The 18,211-nt window shown below is 52.4% G+C and overlaps 4 annotated features.

The window, feature by feature from the left end:
* Positions 2,411-3,372: an enhancer, noted in NCBI's record as "H3K4me1 hESC enhancer chr1:157075101-157076062 (GRCh37/hg19 assembly coordinates)". NCBI's record gives its function as "activates a minimal SCP1, AML or CMV promoter by ChIP-STARR-seq in primed H9 embryonic stem cells {active_cell/tissue: H9 hESC(primed)}" and the evidence as "EXISTENCE:reporter gene assay evidence [ECO:0000049][PMID:30033119]".
* Positions 3,567-3,786: an enhancer, noted in NCBI's record as "active region_1886". NCBI's record gives its function as "activates an Ori minimal core promoter by ATAC-STARR-seq in GM12878 lymphoblastoid cells {active_cell/tissue: GM12878}" and the evidence as "EXISTENCE:reporter gene assay evidence [ECO:0000049][PMID:35858748]".
* Positions 10,241-10,865: an enhancer, noted in NCBI's record as "H3K27ac-H3K4me1 hESC enhancer chr1:157082931-157083555 (GRCh37/hg19 assembly coordinates)". NCBI's record gives its function as "activates a minimal SCP1, AML or CMV promoter by ChIP-STARR-seq in naive H9 embryonic stem cells {active_cell/tissue: H9 hESC(naive)}" and the evidence as "EXISTENCE:reporter gene assay evidence [ECO:0000049][PMID:30033119]".
* Positions 10,866-11,491: an enhancer, noted in NCBI's record as "H3K27ac-H3K4me1 hESC enhancer chr1:157083556-157084181 (GRCh37/hg19 assembly coordinates)". NCBI's record gives its function as "activates a minimal SCP1, AML or CMV promoter by ChIP-STARR-seq in naive H9 embryonic stem cells {active_cell/tissue: H9 hESC(naive)}" and the evidence as "EXISTENCE:reporter gene assay evidence [ECO:0000049][PMID:30033119]".

Consider the following 18,211-nt stretch of genomic DNA (forward strand, 5'->3'; position numbering starts at 1 on the left):
GGCAGGGTGCAGAGGTGAGTTTTGAGAGATTCCAAGGTACGACTGTTCTCTGGAGGAAGCTGATAGAATTTCCTATGGCTCCCCCTGGCACCTGCTGAGTCTGATGGTGTTTTCTGGTCTGAAGGATGTGAATGAAACCTTAGGGTAGATTTAGGATCTGGCAAGAAGAGAATAATAAACCCCACCACTGACCAGACACTCAGTGTGCTCTGCACTACTTTAAGCGATTGAAATAGACATATACTGAAACCTCACAGGAGGTAGCAGAGGGGTTGCATAACTTCCCTAAGGCCATACAGCTCTTAAATAAAAGAGGGGAAAGCAAGACCTTGAGTCAAGATTTATAGTGTTCGGCCATCTAGGTAGGCTCCCAACACCCCCTCCCCGACTCCCCCAAAAGAAAAAAAGCCTCAAAATACAAAACCAAAGTGGCATGAGTAGGCAAGGTCAAGTCTCCAAGCTTCCTGATGCCAGCAGTCTCCTCCCCAGCCTCTCCCGTGTCTGTGAGAGTCCCTGGTGGATCCTTAAGTCTCTGAGGAGCTTGCCAGCTCTGGGTGTGGAAATCCTTGCTGCTGACAAGTCCTGCCAAACGCCTTCCCTCCATCCTTCCTTTTCTACATGAGCCTCGGAGCTGACTGGGGAACACTCAGAAAACACCAGGTCTCAGTTCTGCCTTCATGTCCAAGAGCTGTTCTTGGCACTTAACCTTAACTCCATGCGCTTCACTTTAATCCATGCTCTGGTGGTGATGCTCCCAAGGCTGGGGGAGGTAGTCCCATTCCGTCCCCACCCCGCCCCTATCTTCCAGGCTCCCACTCCTCCCCTCTTGTGCTGTGGGCTAGACACACAAAGCTTGGGGAAGCTCTAACCATGGGTTCTGCACAGCCACTGATTCCCCAAGACCCCCTATGGCAAGATCTTAGAGGAGAATGAGTATTGAAAACCATAAATCAAAAAGGATCATAACCCAATCTCAAATGATCAAAGTGGCTTCTCTTAAGCACTTTGTGTTTCTTGAAGGGTTGTAGCAGCCAGCAATTAGTATTGTCATCACACCATCATTCTGATTACTAATAATATGATTAACCCCCTTGGCCAGTGTAAATGTTCATTACAACACATGTATGTTTTAGGTCATTACTTAATAAAAGCAATACAGATGCTGAAGATAACAGTAGAGAGTAAGCCTTAAGCTAGGGCTTGGAGCCAAAGGAAATGTCCAAAGCACAGGTCACCTTTTGAAGATTTTAGTTAATATGAATTGAGCCCCTATCATGCTCCCAGTATGGGGTTTAACATGTTTTCCTATGTTACTTCATTGACTCTTCACAATAACCCTTCGAGATGGGCATTATCTGTTTTGTATGCTAAGGAAATTGAGGCTCAAGATTAAGAGACTTGCATAATATCCTGGCCAAGTGGTGGAGCTGGATGGGAACAGGTCTGTCTGACTTCAGGCTCCAAGCTGTAATCAGTCAATCAGGGCAGAAAAGTTGAGGATGAAACTTCAGAGCAGAGAGGTGAGGCTGATGGGAGGCCCTGGGCCCTGAAGGAAGCACTTCTAGTCTAAACCCTCCATGTGGGCTCTTTGCTGGAAAAATTATCCACAGAGTCCCCAGAAAGCCAGAGGACAGCCAGCCAAATGGGCAGAGAGCAATACAGAAAGGATGAGAAAGACAAGAACCTACAGAATCTTAAAAAAAAAAAAAAAAAAAGTCAGAGTGTTCAAGACCAATGCCGCATGTATACAAAGTGGAAAGTTGCATCAAAAGTCCCTTTGTTGTTGGGGCCTTTTAAGGGGCTGAAGTGGATTGACTGCATAATCAGATTGATTGGACAAACCAAGTGTTTTCAGTGACTGCTTGATTGATTCAGTGGGAAAATGGGACTGTGTGTAAATACAAAGGCAGCGGGAAGAGATGGGCCATGTGAGTCAGCAAGAAAGAGAGTGAATCAGAGAGTATCAGAAAGAGAAAGAGTGATGCAGAAATCAAAAGCTGTGGACACAGGTGAGGTCCAGAATATGGCCCAGGGGATGGAAAGATCAGAGTGGAGAAACCAGCTTAGAGGAGCGACAGTGCAGGGAGAAACCCCTTGGAGACATTGCGTTGGTGACCTCCAGGGGGTATTTTGTGCTCGTCAGCCCTGAACAAACTGCATCCCCCACCCCTACACCAAATCCCCAATCTGATTAGAAGCTTCTGGTCTCTCCTCTTGATCTCAGCCCCAAGTGGAGAGTGGTTAGTCCTGAGACCTGCTTTAATGCTATTAGTTAAAGCTGCTTAGGTAGGAGAGCAAGAGGGGCTGGGGGCCTGGGAGGGTCAAAGCCAGTCGCCTTTTTCCTTGGAGAATTTGGGGGAAGGAGAGGGCTAGATACCCTTCCTTCATGTCCCCTTAACTTCTCTTTCCTTCTCCCCTGACCAAGGGATATGCTGGCAGTGACCCCAAGGGCATCTTTTCTCTCCCTGCCCAGGCAATAGAGAGGACCCCTTTTTGATGCTGGGTGCTGGGAATCAGCCAGACGAACCCTGTCTCCCTCCTGCAGCCTCAGCTCTTCCTTCTATCTCCACAGCTGGGAGAGCCTCCCCGAGTGGGGTCCAGCAGCAGTCCTGCTTCTCCTTCTCTTTCCTCAGTCCTCAACGCCCCTCCAGGCTCCCTCTCGACTGCTGTCACTGCCCAGTCCCCTCATACAGCCTCAGATCTCTGCCCAGCCCCTCCTCTTAGTCCCCCTGTCCCTTGCAGATGCCTCCAACTCTTGTCTCTTGGGTCCCTGGGGGCCGTGGGATTTAAAAGTTTTGTGTAACTCCGTGGAGCAGAAATCCAAACCCAGACACTCCCATCCCCTGCCCCTCAGACCTGTCACGATGGGCAGCTGAAGGTCGGGGGAAGGTCATCCCCTGACACACCTTCAGGGACCCAGGGGCTCGGGAAGGGACGAGGGTGTCTGGAGACCAGCTTCCAGCTCCGCACCCATCCCTCTGCCTGTCAGGCCCCGGCCGGTCTCCACTTCTCTCTGTTTGACCGGTTTATCTTTCTTCACCTCATTTGCTCCTTCACTGTTCTCTCCTCTTCCCTCCCACTTTAATTCTTTTTCCTTCTTTCCACTTCCCACCCAGCAACCTTCTCTTGGCCTTTCTTCCCCACCATTATTGATTTTGCCATGTATTTTTCCACTCCTGTCTCTCTTCTCCCCTGTCCTCTCCTCTGCCAGTTTCTCTTGGTCTCTCCATTTCTGCCTTTACTTCCTGTGTCTGCCGATCCTATGGCCTCTCTTTGTTGCCCTACCTATCCTGCCCCTTGGAATGCCCATTTCCCTCCTCTGGAGTGTTGCCTGTCTCAACACTTCTTTCCCAGCCTGGTGCTCTCTGTTTTGCTGTCTCTGTCACTGTCTCCTGTTGTTGCTTTCTGTTTCCTTGTCTGTCTTTCCTCTCTTGCCCCCCATCTCTCATCCATGCTTTGGAGAAGGAAACTGACCACAGGCCTCCCAGCTTCCCTGCCCTGCCCTTATAGCACCACCACCCCACTCCCCTACTTCCTCCTCAGATCCCCCCTGCGCCCCTCGACCTTCCCCTAGTGGCAACCTCATTCCCATCAGCTGTGCCTGGGGGAGCCCCCTGCCTGGACACCCCCTGATCCTTCCCTTTGTCCCCCCAACACAGAGACAAGAAATCCCCTCCAGCAGGCGATGACGTGGCAGAGGAGCAGGTCAGAGGCAGAGGAAGTGAAAGCTCCTAGCAAACAGCTGAGCTGGATGAGCTGGCAGGGCCAGCATGGGGCTGAGTAACTGGGACCAGGACAGCAGCGTGAGAAGCAGGCATCTGAGGCCATTCTCCCCAGCTGGGGGCCTCTGATACCTTCTGACTCAATCCCCAACCCTCAACCCTCATGTCCACTTCCAGCCTCAACCCCAACCCCAATCTTAACAAGAACCTTCAACTTCCACTAAGCCCAAAGCCTCATTGAAGGCTGCATCCATGCACCCTGGTCCCTGTGCCCACTGGAGCCCCACTGCCCTTGGGCAGGACCAGAAAGGGGCTCGGAGGTGGCGAGACAGCAGCACCACTCTCCCCAGCCCTTCTCCTCTTGTCTCCACTGGGAAGGAGTTGGTGAGACGAGCAGGACTTCTCTCTGCCACGGGAGCATCATCTCTGTGTCTCTCCAGCCTCACAAGCCTGGATCTGCCCTCACCATCACAGGGGCTCTCGTGATAAGCAGGAGACTTCACGTTCTCAGACTTTAGGCTTCTTCTAGTTCCTTGAAAAGGATCCCAAGAGTCTGAGGAAGGGAGGGAGGTAGGAGTGGGGCAGAATCCTCTCATCCCATCAGAGGTTTCAATTCAGAACACCCCAGCCCGGATCAGGTGGGAGCACAATCCTGGTGGCCCTCTGCCCACCCCTGCTCCTTCCCGTCCTCATGCTATGAGGTCCACACCCTCACCTGCCTCCCTCTGCCCAGTAGTAGCCACCAGCTGATTGTCAATCCTCACCCACTGATCTTCAACCTCAGCCACAGGGATGACAGCAGAGAGCTCCCTGAGACACAGAACCCTGGGGCAGGGAGATAGCTGAGGCCAGCATTCGGTCAGCCCCAGGATCCAACTTGATCCATTCATCCCAAGAGTTGTATCTGCCAATAGCTGACCCCAGCTGTGCCCCATCTTGGGGGAGGAGAGCCTATTGGTAGGCTGGACCTGCTGTCATTATGATGTCCTTCTGCAGGTGCCAGGGTTCTCTCTGGCCTAAGTGCCCAACACCTGGCTCTGTGGCTGTCCCATACCTAGATGGAAGAGCCCTGCCACCTCCCACGCAGCTTCAGTGTGACCCTTGGGTTCCCCTCTCCACCCGGTGCCTAGCTCTCTTTATGTCTCCCCTTCCTAATTGCCCCACGATCGGCTCCACCATTGAGGTGGTGGACAGAGAAGGGCTCGTCCCTGCCGGCTGGCCCCAGCTGCAGACCTGCCATCGGAGTCCCTTACCTTGGATCAGCAGCCAGGTCCCCGTGCTCCTCCGACTGGCTCCCTCTGGCGCTCTCCTCGCCCAGCAACGACCCCCTCCTCGCTCATCACACGCGTTAGGGTTACTTAAAATGAGAGCGGGATCTCCAAGCTCCCAGGGGAGCCGATGTGGTTTTCAGACAATAGCATTAACCCTTCGGGGGCTAGCAACACCACGGCCTTGAGCCCCTTCCCTTGCACCCCCACCTCTTTGGGGGTGAGGTGGGAGGGAGTATCTCTCACTGGGTCCTTTGCATCCAGAGCCTGCCTCTGGGGAAGATCAGACCTAAAACATCTGACCCACCGGGAGACTAGGGAGAGGGCTACCCCTTCTTTAACGCCAGGAAAAGGGACGCTGACCTATTGGGAAGGCCTTCTGCTGTCCACCCTTCCTACTTTGTCAGCCCTTCTTTTATGCAGACTTCTGTGGAGATGGAGTCCAGATCTGCAGAAGAAACACCCTTCCCAATCTCTGATTCTTAACACCATCTCACTCCTTGTTTTCTCCTCTGAGCCCCAGACCATGCTCTGCTCACCATGGTAGTGCTGGATCTTTGCAATTTGTAACTTTTCTTCGTAGTCTCCAGTAAAATGATACTAATCATTTACCTAATCTCTTTTCCCTAAGGATTTTAAAGCAGCGATTATGTCTGTTTCCTCTTAGAGTTGTAGAAAATGATTTTTTCCTTTTTTAAAAAAATTAATGTGACTTGAAGTTAGACAGCAGGAAGAACTTCCAACTAAGGGATAAACCAGGCAGGAGAAAGTGATGACGGGGTCATCAGAGAGCCTGCTAAGGAAATATTACAAACAAGAGAAGGGGTAGGAATCCAGAATGTTCTGGGAGGGGATGGAGGACGTGGGTAACTGACCTCAGGAAAGGCTTTTCCAGGGAAGCTGGAGGAGGGACGATACTGAAGACCAGGGCCTCTGTCGTTAAAGTCCTGGGGATCAAGTGACCCTGGAGCCTGTCGGCCCTGTCTCCAATCTCCCCACTCACCATCGGGGAGAAGATTGATGGATGTCATTGGGGGAATCAATATGATTTTCTTTTTTTTTCCCCTGACTCTGAGATACCAAGTTTCCCCCTACCCTCCACTCTCCTCGTTACACAGACCCTCCCAACCCTGAGCTGATCGAGATGGGACTGGAGGGCCATGGAATTAAATTCTGGGGGTTGTTTTCTGGCTAAATCAACCGAAGCTAACATGATGGAAAGGTGAGAGAGAGGCTGACTGACGGAGGAGACAGGAGCTGGGGGCCATGGAGAGAGGGTCCTGGTCAGGGAGAGCCAGGAAGGACTGGGCTCCAGGCCCACTAGGGCAAAGAGGAAAGGGGCTACAGGGAGGAATGGCACAGAACACTGTTCCATGGAGTTGGATGGGTGGGTGGGGGTGATATTAGCAAGGACGAGACAGACTTGATCTCCATAAAGGACAGAGATCTGTGGCAAGAAAGACTGAAGTTAGAGCCAAGATGCGGTAACCTGGGCATTTCTCGTAGGTGTCATTGGTACTTCCTCATCTGGAAAGCTTATCCTGCCCCTTGCTCACCTCCACCCCATCCTCTCTTCTTCACTGAAGAGTTTCAGGATCATTTGAGTTAGCTGCAGAAGATGCCAAGGCCAAGGAGGACTCCATTAGGAAGAATGGCTCTGCCCCTCCTCTTCAGGAAGGCCCTGCCAAAGAGGGGGTCAGAGCAGAACTGAAGTGGGGGAACAGGAGCCTAGACCCAGGCACTGGACTCCCGGGATCATTTGGACCTCCTCTTGCCTCTATAGGCTTTTCTAGGGGGTAATATCTGAGAGACCTCCAGACAAGGAGGCTCCAAACTATTGTGGGGGTCCCACTTCCTGCGACCATCCCAGCTCCCAGCAAAGTCTCTCATAAGGCTATCTTCAAGTCCTTTTTTTTTTTTTTTTGTAGAGATGGGGTCTCAAACTTCTGGCCTCAAGTGATCCCCCTGCCTTCAGCCCTCCAAGTAGCTAAGATTACAGGTGTGCGCCACCACCCCCGGCCTCAGGAGCTGCTTCTGAGTGGGGTTTTCACTCTTCTGCTGCTCCTTCCACTGTCCCTACCTGCTTCCTCTCATCTTCTAGAGCTGGATAAAGACAGTTCTTCCTGCCTGCTCCCTACTTTCTGTCCAACTCACACTTCAGTGGTTGGCCTTTGTAGACTAGGCTGGGCATGGACGCTAGGCGCTTGGCTCAGACCTTGGCTGCTAGAATGGCAAGCTAAGCCTCCTCTGCTTCATCCTCTAAATATAAGCAGATGGCTTAGCTCCCTAGCAGTGGGTGGAGGAAATGGCAAATGGCCGTGGGTGGAGGATCTCCTGACCCAACAAAGACCGTTCTAGATTATGAAGCTTTCTGCGTGCATCCTAGTGTGTAGCACAGTGCCTGGATATGGGGGCTGCTCTGTCATGACTGGGAAGTGAATAAACCAAAAAGTACCTCATGCTTCAATCAGCACCCCACGCTCTAGCCAGCCCAATTGCCTGGACTCACAATAGGCAGCCTCGACACATTTTATTTTATTTTTTTGAGGTGGGGTCTCACTCTGTTACCCAGGCTGGAGTGCAGTGGTGCAATCTCAGCTCACTGCTACGTTCGCCTCCTGGGCTTAAGTGATCCTCCTATCTCAGCGTCCCAAGTAGCTGGGACTACAGGCATACACCACCATGCCCAGCTAATTTTTGTATTTTTGGTAGAGATGGGTTTTACCATGCTGCCCAGGCTGGTCTCAAACTCCTGAGCTGAAGTGATCTGCCTGCCTTGGCCTCCCAAAGTGCTGGAATTACAGGCATGAGCCCCCATCTTCATTTCCATTAACTGTCCAGCTCCCTAAACTCCCTGACAGGGTGAACAATAGTGGGGTTAGGCCAAATGGATGGGGGTGGAGCTGTCTCTGTCTGGGGACAGGAACCTGGCAGGAGGCAGCCCTTCTTGCTTTGGTGCTTAGAGCTGGCTCTGGGTGTCTGTCAGCATCCACTTGGGCTGAGGGAGGCCAGGGAGGGAATGGGAACAGCTCCTCTCCTCAGCTCTCCTCCCAGCCCCTAGAGATTAATGGCACGAACTCAGGCGGGAAGGGTCCTCTCATAGGAGGAAGCCAAAGGATATGCTATTTGAGCTTCAAGTAGACTTTTCCTGTTCTAGTTAGTGACGCTTTTTTCATACTTGAGTAACAACCAGCACAAGTGACTAAATTCAGAGTCTATTGACTTTGTATCAAGACCTCACCACCCCGAGTGGGTTCTCTCAGGCCTCGCTGAGCCTTTGTAACCATCTGACATTAAAATGGGCAGCACCAGAGGACACAGGGATGGGATCAGACCTTGGGGAGTGTTTCTCAAGGAGCTGCACAGGGTGGAGGGGTGGAGATGACAAGATGGTGCCATTGCCTTCCTGAGGAATAGGAAGAAGCCAGGAAAACAGGCTCATCCCTTCTCCTCCACTGGCTCCTTGCCCTTCAGCCAGGGATCTGGCCTGGGGTCATGGCAGCCAGTGGAGTAAAGTTCAGGGGGCCTGGCTGATTCCAGGAAGGTCTGTCTGGCCAGTCCAATCGTGTCGGAAGAAGAATACCCACTCATAAGCACTCCTTGCCGGCTGTTGGAGAAAGAGGGCTCATTCTCTGCCATGCTGATGGGGCCCAATGCACCCCCATTAGAGGGGCAGAGGCCAAAGGCAGGGGCCAAAGTGGTGACTGAGACTGAACTCAGAGGGAGGGGAGGGAACAGGGGCGCTCCTGCAGGGAGGGACAAGGCCCCAGGTGGCCAGAAAGGGGACAGGAAAGGAGGTGCCAGGTAAGCACTGGGAAGGAGGAAGAAATCTGATTTAAGGAGACAAAGAAGAAGGAAAGGGGGAAGATTAGAAGAAGTGATGAGGCTGAGGGAAGAGGAGAGGGACCAGAGAGGGCAGGAGGAGGCCTGGCTGAGGCAGCCCTGGAATGCTGCATCCGGAGGGATGCAAGGGCTGGGGGAGGGCAGGGGAGGAGGCGGTGTGTGAGTGTGCGGAGCCGGTGGCTGCGGTGTCGGTGGAGACTCTTCATGTCCCATTAGCGGCAATGGAAGGTGACATGTGGGGATCGATACCAATCGAGGCAACAGACTCCCAGTAATAAACCCATTTCACTCACACTTCTCCACCCCCCAAAGCCCAACCCCGCGAGAGGGAGTGAGAGCTTCCCACCCCCGACCCGAACTCCAGAGAGGCTGTGCTCAGAACGGTCCCCAGCCCTGGCACCGGGCAGGGTGGGGGTTCTTGCTACCTGGCCCTGTGAGTCCCAGGCCCAGTTCTTCCTTCTTTCTAGGGGTAAGGAGGAGCTAGGGCCACCTCCCAAACCCTGGGGCTATTTCCAAGGCAGAACAGGGAAAAGCTCTGGAATTTGTTGATCAGCTCACCCTGTGGGTGCAGGTGAAGGCTTCTTTGTACTCCTGGGTCTATAGAAAGACGTCTCTCCATGTGTGCCTCCGTGTGGGAGTCTGAATGCGTGTCTTTCTGTCTCTGTTAGCAGGTGTGCGTCTGTGTGTCTCAGGATTTGTGTGTTCTGTGGCTGGCTGTCTCTGTAACCACGTATTTTTGTGCGTAGGTGTTTGTGTCAGTTTTTGTGTTTCCAGTGTGTGTTGGTGGGCTGTGTGTGCCTGTGTCCATGCACACCTATCTCTGAGAAGGTGGGTATGTGAACCTGGGCTTGCTGTGTGTGAATCTGAGTGTGTGAGCCCATGTTTCTGGGGGTGTCTGCTCTGGGTGCGTGGGCTGTGCTTTGTTTCAGAGACTGTGTGGGGGTGTCTCTCTCTGTGTGTGTGGTGGGGGTTGTGACTGTCTTTGTCCCCTGTACTTGTGGGAAAATGCTGCTGGCCTCTCAGTACTGGCACCAAAACCCTGCCCCAACCTGGCCCCTTGAGCTGGACCTCAGACAATGTCCTACCTTCCAGGTGGGGTGCTCCGCTGTCCTGCTTTGCCTGGGACTGACAGTTTCCCAGATGCAGTACTTTCAGTGCTAAAACTGGAACAGTCCCAGAAAAACAGGGCAATTGTTCCCCCTCCTTCCAGGCATAGACGTGAGAAGGCCAAAGTGAATGGCAGTGCGGGTATCAGGGAAGGAAGGATGGCAGACTAGTAGGGTGAGGAGAGTCGAAGGAGTAGATGGAAAGGTTGAGATATTTGAATGGAGGAGGAACGAGGAAAAAAAAGGCTGTGAGAGCAGCAGGAGGAATGATAGTTAGATCAAAGGGGGAACTTCCCCAGGGCACAGAGGGGAACTCTGGAAACTAACACAGGAAGGAAAAGAGATGGGCTGTCCCCCGCCCTGCAAAACTCCAGAGGGAAGTCGTGCTGGGCTCTGCAGGGCACAGCAGCAGACAGGGTGCTTGCCTGCGTGTGGCTGCTCACGGCTTATGCCTGCCTGCCTGTGGCTGGTGGGGTGCACCCAGACAGAGCACCTGTGGGGCTCCCACCCTCTTGCACACCCCACGCTGCTCTCTCTGTCTCCTCACTGGATGGGGATGAGAGCACGGCTCAGAGATGGGACTCCCTCAGTGCACAGTGTGAGGGTGTCTGGCTTTGTGTCCTTCCCTCTCTCTGCTTGGTGGGCCACCTTCCTCAAAGACGACAGACTGGGCCCTGGATGGCCCTGGGTGATGGGCCTGGAGGTCAAGAGGCTTTGGGGAGGGAGAGCTTGTTTATGGTCTCCCAGAGTCTCTGAACTCCAACAGGAGGGTTGGAGCCTTCTCCGTCATGTTTACCATGGAATTCCCAATCCCATCTCAGTGCCTGGCACATAATGGCCCCTCAGGAAATGTGTCTTGACTAAACTCATAGCTTTGCCCCTGCTCCTGAGTGCTTTAGTCATCCTCTTCTCCGGGAGTGAATGACAAAGGGGCCCTTTTAGTTCTCTGGCTGTGCCTTCTCTCAGCCACATCCCTCTAATCCTTCCTGCTCCTGTCTTCCCTGGGGTCTCCTGCACTGGGCCTCACAGGTGAGCACCTGCAACTCTCATTCCTGCAGAAGCCTCTGGAAAGTCAGACACAAGCTGGCTCCAGCGGAGGGGCCTCCAGCCTCTGCTGTCCCTTGCTGTTTTGTCTCAAGGCAGCGTCTTTCAAATTGCCCTGCCACTGCCCTTTGGAGCCTTTGAGGAGTTTGAGGGGTTGTCATAGCCATGAAGATTTAAACTTTGGAGGTCACACAAGGTTTTAAACATCTGTTTTATAAACTGAGTTCTCAGTAGAAGTTTTGAAGACAGAGCTCCAGTACTAAAAATCTGTGCGGCCTGGCCTGCTCCTGACATTTGCAGGCGTCTGTGCGGGAGTGGAAACAACACTGCTCCCGCTCAGGAGGATGTGCCTAGGGCAGAGGCTCGAGCACTCCTGGATGGGGCTCCCGTCATTTGGACAGGGAATTGGAGGGTGCCAGAGACCCAGAGTGTGTGCTAGAAGGAGGAACGTGGCTCCACGTGGGCCTGTCCCCTTGGCCTTCAAGAGCTTCACCTGGGCTGGGGCACTGGCTGCCCTGGTCTCAGTGTGGTATCCTTTGAGAATGACAATTTCAGTATGCACTCACTCTCTGCCTCTCTGTGCCGCTGGTCTGTGAGCTGGTCCAGGGCTGCGTTCTGGAAGACGGTGAGAGAACTGAATCTTGTCCAGGATCCCACACTGTTGACTCTCCCTTGGAGCCCTCCCCTTTTATCTTTTGTGTAGTGCTCTTGGCTGGTCCTCAGATGGGGTCTTGTCTCTTCCCTCAGTCTGGGGGCTTCAGGGAGACAGGAGCTATTGCTTCTCAGATGACGAGCTTCCTGGAGGAACTGCATCTCCTTCTTTGGATTGGGGGGGTGCCTGGAGGAGGGGCTGAGTCCCCTTCCCTAGTCCTCCTTCCTCCAGGTGGAGGCCAGGTGTGTGGCCTGAGCACTAGGGGTTGGGGGCTCTTGGAGAATGGTAAGGGATGGGAGAGTGAGGGAGCTGGGTGGGAAGGACACATGCCCAGGGCTGCAGACAGGCAGAACCCAACAGGCATGGTGCTTAGTTCCAGGGGCCCCGAAAGAGCAGCAAGAGGGATGGATGCTCTTCACGCTTCGTGAGGGCTGGCCAACAGCCAGGCATGGGAGCTGGGGCGCAGGATTGGGGCACGGTGAGAAGAGGCTCTAGGCCTCTCGGGTTTGGGGTCACCCCTGGATTCTATTTCCCTTGTTCTTTTCCGGACCTCTGAGAAGCTGGGATGGGCAGACATTTCCACTGTCTGGAGCCAGGAAGGATTTCTTGGAAGAGAATAACTCAGGGGCTCAGAGGGGAGGCAGGTCTCTCCCTCCCTCCCACCCTTTTCCCCTTCCCCCAACACCAACCCAGGGCAGGCTAACCAAACTTTATATATATTCTGAGTTAAGGAGCCCTGTGTCACATTGATAGGAAAAAACAAGAGAGAGAGAAGGGGAAGCCAGGAGAATGCAGAGCTCAAATGAGAACCGAGATAAAGCAATTACCTGATCAATACGGGTGAAATTGAGTAATCTAGCAGATCAATACCATGGGCAGGAGGCTGGGGGGTGGGTGCTCCCTGCTCTCAGCCCTGCTCCCCTGCCCACCCCGGCTGCTGTCCCTCCTCCACTTGCTCCATCCCCCTCCTTTGGGAATTCATCTCTAGATCTGCCTTCCACCTCAGCCTCTGCACTCCCATCCCCCAAGGTCCCCCCTGCTCCTCCCAGCCCCCAACCTGTGCTCAGACTGCCACCCCTACTCAACTGCCGCCTCAACTCCCCTCACTCACGTCCCTCTTCTTCCTTCCCAAACTGATCCTACTCTCTCAACAGCCCCACTGAATTGATGACCCCTGCCACTCCATCCCCCAACACACACACTGGGCCTGCAGCTCAAGCCAGCTGGAGAGCCAGCTGCCCACAACTGTGTCCTGGGCAAAGGTGTTGGGAGGTGATCTCACTCCCTACACCAGGAAAAGAACTAGGTTTGCAGGGACCAAGTCTTCCCCTATCAGCCAGACCTGACTGGAGAGACAGATGCACCTCTTATTTCACCCTGTTATTGGTAATACAACCTATCACACCATTTATGAAGCATTGATGACATTCTAGGCATGGGCTGAGCTGGGCTGTGGGGGCGGGGAGCTGGGAGGAGGCCCCTGGTTCCTGCTGATGCAAAGGCGACAGTCCCCACAGTGAAGGGCACTTGTCCATCTGGGGACTGCTGGTGTTTAGAAGGGGATCTTGGGGCTGCGGCTTTTTCAGAAGGGGACTGGGGTAGAAGGACAACTTCCCCAATATTGTGGGAACACCTGAGTTCCTGCTGGCCGAAGTGAGTACCAAAAATTCTTTGGCAACCAGAAAAGTGACAGCTTGCTCGGAGATGAAAAGCAAGGCTTTGTCATGTGGAAAGAGCACGAAATAGGATCATAGCCCCCGATTTACTCCTGTCCTCTGTCACTGCTGGAGTAGAATCACAGCCCCGATTTACTCCTGTCCTCTGTCGCTGCTAGACTGGAAGCTCCTGGCTGGTCAGGAGTGTGTTGATTTGACTTTATGAGTACAGAACTGGGCCTGGCATCCAGCAGGCACTCGGAAACGTTGGATGAATGAATGAACGACTATCGTCACCTGGCCGCAGTCTGCCTTGTATTTCAGTTCATTATATTGGCTTGCTTGGCCCCAGGGAGCAGGGACCTCCTATGTCTCCCAGCCACAGCCTGGCATCCAGCAGCCCTTCAGCAAATGTTTGTTTCATGTAATGAATGACTGCCTGAACATATGTATGGGTCTCTGTCTCTGGGCGTTGAGGTTGTTCCAGGGGAGCTCAAACCGGCAATGATTCCACAAAGTTCCTTAGATAAATCAAGGGCCTCTTTAAAGCAGCTCATTCCCCAACCCCCACTTCCAGCTGTCTGTATCACCACTGAGAGGCAGAGAGGTATTTGAGAAAAGACATGAACTTTGGAGTCAGAGACACTGGGTGAGTCCTGGCTGGGTTGCTCACTACCTGTGTTGATCTTGGGCAATTCACTTAACCTCATTGACCTTTGTTTTCCTCATCTGGAAAATGGGCATAATAATAGTACTCTCCACAGAAGGTGATTTTGTGGATCAAGTTAGTTAACACAAGTTAAGTGACAAGAACATATAGATGTTCATGAGGGTAGGAGGAGTTGGTTAGCAGAGAGGCAACATTTTTCAACATGTGCAGATGAAGACTTTTTCCAGCTGGGCTACAAGTGGGAGAATAAAAACAAACTTTCCAATACCTGTTTTATTCTGAAGATAGATTGATGCCTACATACCTCAGTTTCCCCTTCACTTCCTTCCAGTTAGTTACGGAGGGGGCAAAAGTGATGCAAAGAAGACACTTAAATTCCAGAACACTCACTAGATTGACCGCCCTCCCTGCCATCATCTGTTTGTGCTGCTCTTTGAGGGAACCTGGGAAAAAACAGAAGGCAGGCTTAATGACTCTCTGTAACAGAGGGTCCCTCCCCTGCAGCCAGAATCTGGTGCTGACCTCTGCCCCCTGGAGAGAGGGGTCCTTCCATCCTCCTCTCCCTGGTGATACCCTGCAGGACTCCAGGTGAGAGGCCAGTGGCTTCCCCCCTCACTGGCCCTTAGCTCTTTGGGACCCAGGTTGTAAGGCTTGGACTGTCTCCTAGACCAGGCTTTGGGCTGAAGGTGGGATGGAGTCGACAACCTGATAGAACTGAGACAAGCTAGAAAGGCCTGCTGCTGCTGGGTCCCAGACTTTCACTTCCTGTTTTGGCTGCCTCTGCAGGGCTTATGGCCCACTCCCCATTGTCTCTAGACCAGATCCCAGATACTAGAGCCAGGGGTCTGGAGACAGTGAGGGGGACCCCCTCATCCCCAATTCCTCCCCACCTCTGTATCAACCCGGGCCCAGCCTCCACTGTCAGTCATGGGGGAGTCAGGTGGGCTGACCTGCATTCTGGGAAGGCTTTCTCCTTCCTTTTTCAGTCCCCCTGGAGCCTGTTTGGCCAGAGCTGAAGGGCCCCTCCCCTGGGCCTGCTCACAGGTGCTTGTTCCCCCTCCTGCTGTGTTCTTGCCAGGGTCTCAACACTCCAGGCTGGGACACGTGGCCTGACACCTGGAGAAACACTTAAGGTTGGGCCTTCCCCCTCCTCTTCCTATTCTGCATGTCTGATTCTTAGACGCTGCTTAGAACTGTCTTCACCCTCGCCTCAGAGATACAAGGCAATGGGGAAAGTATGTGATCTGGAGTCAGGAGACCTCGGTTTGAATCATTAGGATAAGCCACCTGCTCCGGGCCTCACTTGTCTCATCTGTCAGACAGGGATGGTGGTACCAAAAAAAGCCAATGTGAAGGCACAAAGCCGCAGGAGGGTAAAATAACCATGATGATGGGATGGGACCTCACTTAAACATTGTGGTCACTTCACTAAATGCTTTATGTGCATCATTTAATCCTTGAAACAGCCCTAAAACATAGGGAAACTGAGGCACGGAGAGGTTCTATAGCCCACCTGAGGCCTCACAGGCAGTAAGTGGCAGGGGTGGGACTATGGGATTCGAGCCAGTTCTAGAGCCTCTCTGTTCTCCAGGGAGGCAGCACAGCCATCCCGGGAGAGGAGAGGCACAGGGACACGTGGGAAACAGCAGGCCTCCTTGGGGTTTCCTGCTGTCCTCCTGCTCATCCTCTTTCTTTTTCTTTTTTTTGAGGGTGGGAACAAGAGGTGGGTGAGTGAAGTTGGAATTAATGAGTCTGCCTGAATCCTAGGGAGGGGGCAGGAAGGGAAAGCCCAGGTGGGGCTCTTCAGGATTATAGGTGTCTTGGAAACTGGGAGGCCAGGGGAGCACCCTTAGTGGAGGGTTCCCTATAATTTCAGTTCATTTTTCTCTTGCACATTCTGCTTGAGTAGATCAATACCCCACAAATATATCCTGTGTGTATCCTGAGGGGAGGCAGGGTTGAAGGAAGGTGGGAGGGAGTACAGTTGCAGATAGACGGGAGGAGAGAGACTGAAGATAGAGGAGAGGCGGGGAGCCATGGTAGACCCAGGGGCCAGGAGGGTGGAAGAAGGCTGTGATCGAACAGGGGCCTCAAGGCACAGCTCCTTGGGCAGGTGGCCCCTATACTGGGGCTGGGAGCTTGACACTATACCCATGTCACTCTCCCCTCATCCCTTTGCCCATCCTTATTCCAAACCTGCATCTTCTATTCCAACAGTCACACCTCCTTCGTATGTCTCTTGTTATTCACTTGTTAAACATTTATCAAGCATCCTCGGGCTCCAAGCAGTGTGCTAGGCACTGGAGAAAGGCCGTTGAATTGAACGCTGCGCTGGCCTGGGGCTTCTTGACTGTTCTGTGAAAAGCCAGACAAGCAGGCAATGACAACACAGTGTGGTGAGGGCTGTGACAGGACACGCAGGAGTGCCCCCTGACCTTCCAGGAAAGGCCGTGGAGGTGATGGCATCTGAGTTGAATGCCGCATGGTAAGATGTAACTGGTGAAGTGGGGGAAAGAAGGGTGTTCCAGGCAGAAGGGACAGAGCCGATGGGCAGTTTGTCAGCATGGCAGAGAGGCCTTGCAGCAGAGTGGTTAGAGCACAGGAACTGGGGCAAGAATTCTGGGCAAGCCAGTTAGCTCCTCTGATACTCAGTGTTCCCACAATAAAATGGCAATAAACACAGCTCCTACCTCAAAGGGTTGTCATGAGGCTTACATGAGTTGATACAAGTGGGTCCTGGCACAGGACAACTGCTATATTCGCACTGGCTGTTCTGGGCACAGCTTAGGCTTTGTGTAGTGTGGGAGAGAGTGTGTCTGCATGGGTGTGTGGTGAAGGATGAGGCTGGAAGGGAAATCAGGGGCCAGGTTATGAAGGGCCTGCCGAGCTGCTAAAGACTGTAACAGGAAAATCATGGTGAGTTGGTTATTCCCTAACTCACCATGAAGGGCTCTGAGGCTTACCTTTCCCCTTTGTCCTCATCCTCCAGGCCTCATCTCTTTCCTTACTTCTTTTCCACATGCTGTCACTCTTTTCCTTCTTTGCTCAGAATTCAAATAATCACCATCCAATTCTAAGCACTGAGTGGCCAACTTAGGCTGGCAGAACCAGATGTCTGGGATTCTGGTCTCAAAACTATGTGCAAGTTCATTCCTAAAACGGGCCTCCTTTTGCTTTCAGCAATGAGGAGGGGAGAGAAGCAGGAGGCTCTCCCAGCTGGAGGGTCTCATCCAAGCCCATACCCATTTTCTTGACTTGGTTACTTCAGGACGTCGACCAGTCAGCCCGTTACTTTTCCTTTTTCTTACCTAAATGAGTTGTCTTTTTGAGCAGAGATACTGACAAGGTAGTCACAGTTTCTCAGGGCGGTGTCCTTCGATGGTCCTCCCTGGCTCAGCCCGCTATTTTGTGAAATACCAGGGATGGCCATTGCTAGAATAAAATGCAACCCTTCATAATCCATCCCAGTCGGCCTCTTCAGCGACGTCCCTCACCACTCAATTCCCTACTCACAGCGCCCTTTAATAGAGGCCAAATTGAACACCTGGCATATTGGGACCTCCAGAAAGTCACTTTGCCTATCTCCCACGGGTGAAATGAGATTACTGTCTGGCTCCATTTTTCTGAAAGTGTGTTATGATATTCAGTACTCCACCATTATCCCCTCCTACCCCTCTGGATTCTTGTCATCTACTGGGAAATACTGTTTCCTTAGTACTGGTTTGCCCTTAAAAAAGTGTTTTGTACTTAAAACACCAAAACACCCAGTGAAACCACCTTTACTGAGATATAATTTACATGCCATAAAATTCACCCTTTCAGAGTGGTTGTCATTCAGTAGTTTTTGTTATATTCAAATAGTTGTCCAACTACCACTACTAAGTCCTGAACATTTTCATCACCCTAAAAAGGTAATCTGACCTGCTAATGGTTACTCCCCACTTTTCCCTGGTAACCACTAATCTGTGTTCAGTCGCTACAGATTTGCCTATTCTGGACACTTCATGTAAAAGGAATCACGCAATGTGTGGTCTTTTGTGTCTGGCTTTGACATGTACTCTTAAAGAATCTTCACAATAATCTTGAGATAGAAATTTCCACCTAACTTGCGTCTCTGGCTTCAGTTAGTTTTAACTGGTAGCAGCCATTCACTCAAGAAAATGGAAAATCTCCAGAACTGTTAAGAGACCTATTTCCTTACTATGTTGGTACCTGTACAATAGGAATAACAATGCATGAGGGTGGGGGAGC

This window comes from Homo sapiens, chromosome 1 (assembly GCF_000001405.40).
Source record: "Homo sapiens chromosome 1, GRCh38.p14 Primary Assembly".
Taxonomy (NCBI): Eukaryota; Metazoa; Chordata; class Mammalia; order Primates; family Hominidae; genus Homo; species Homo sapiens.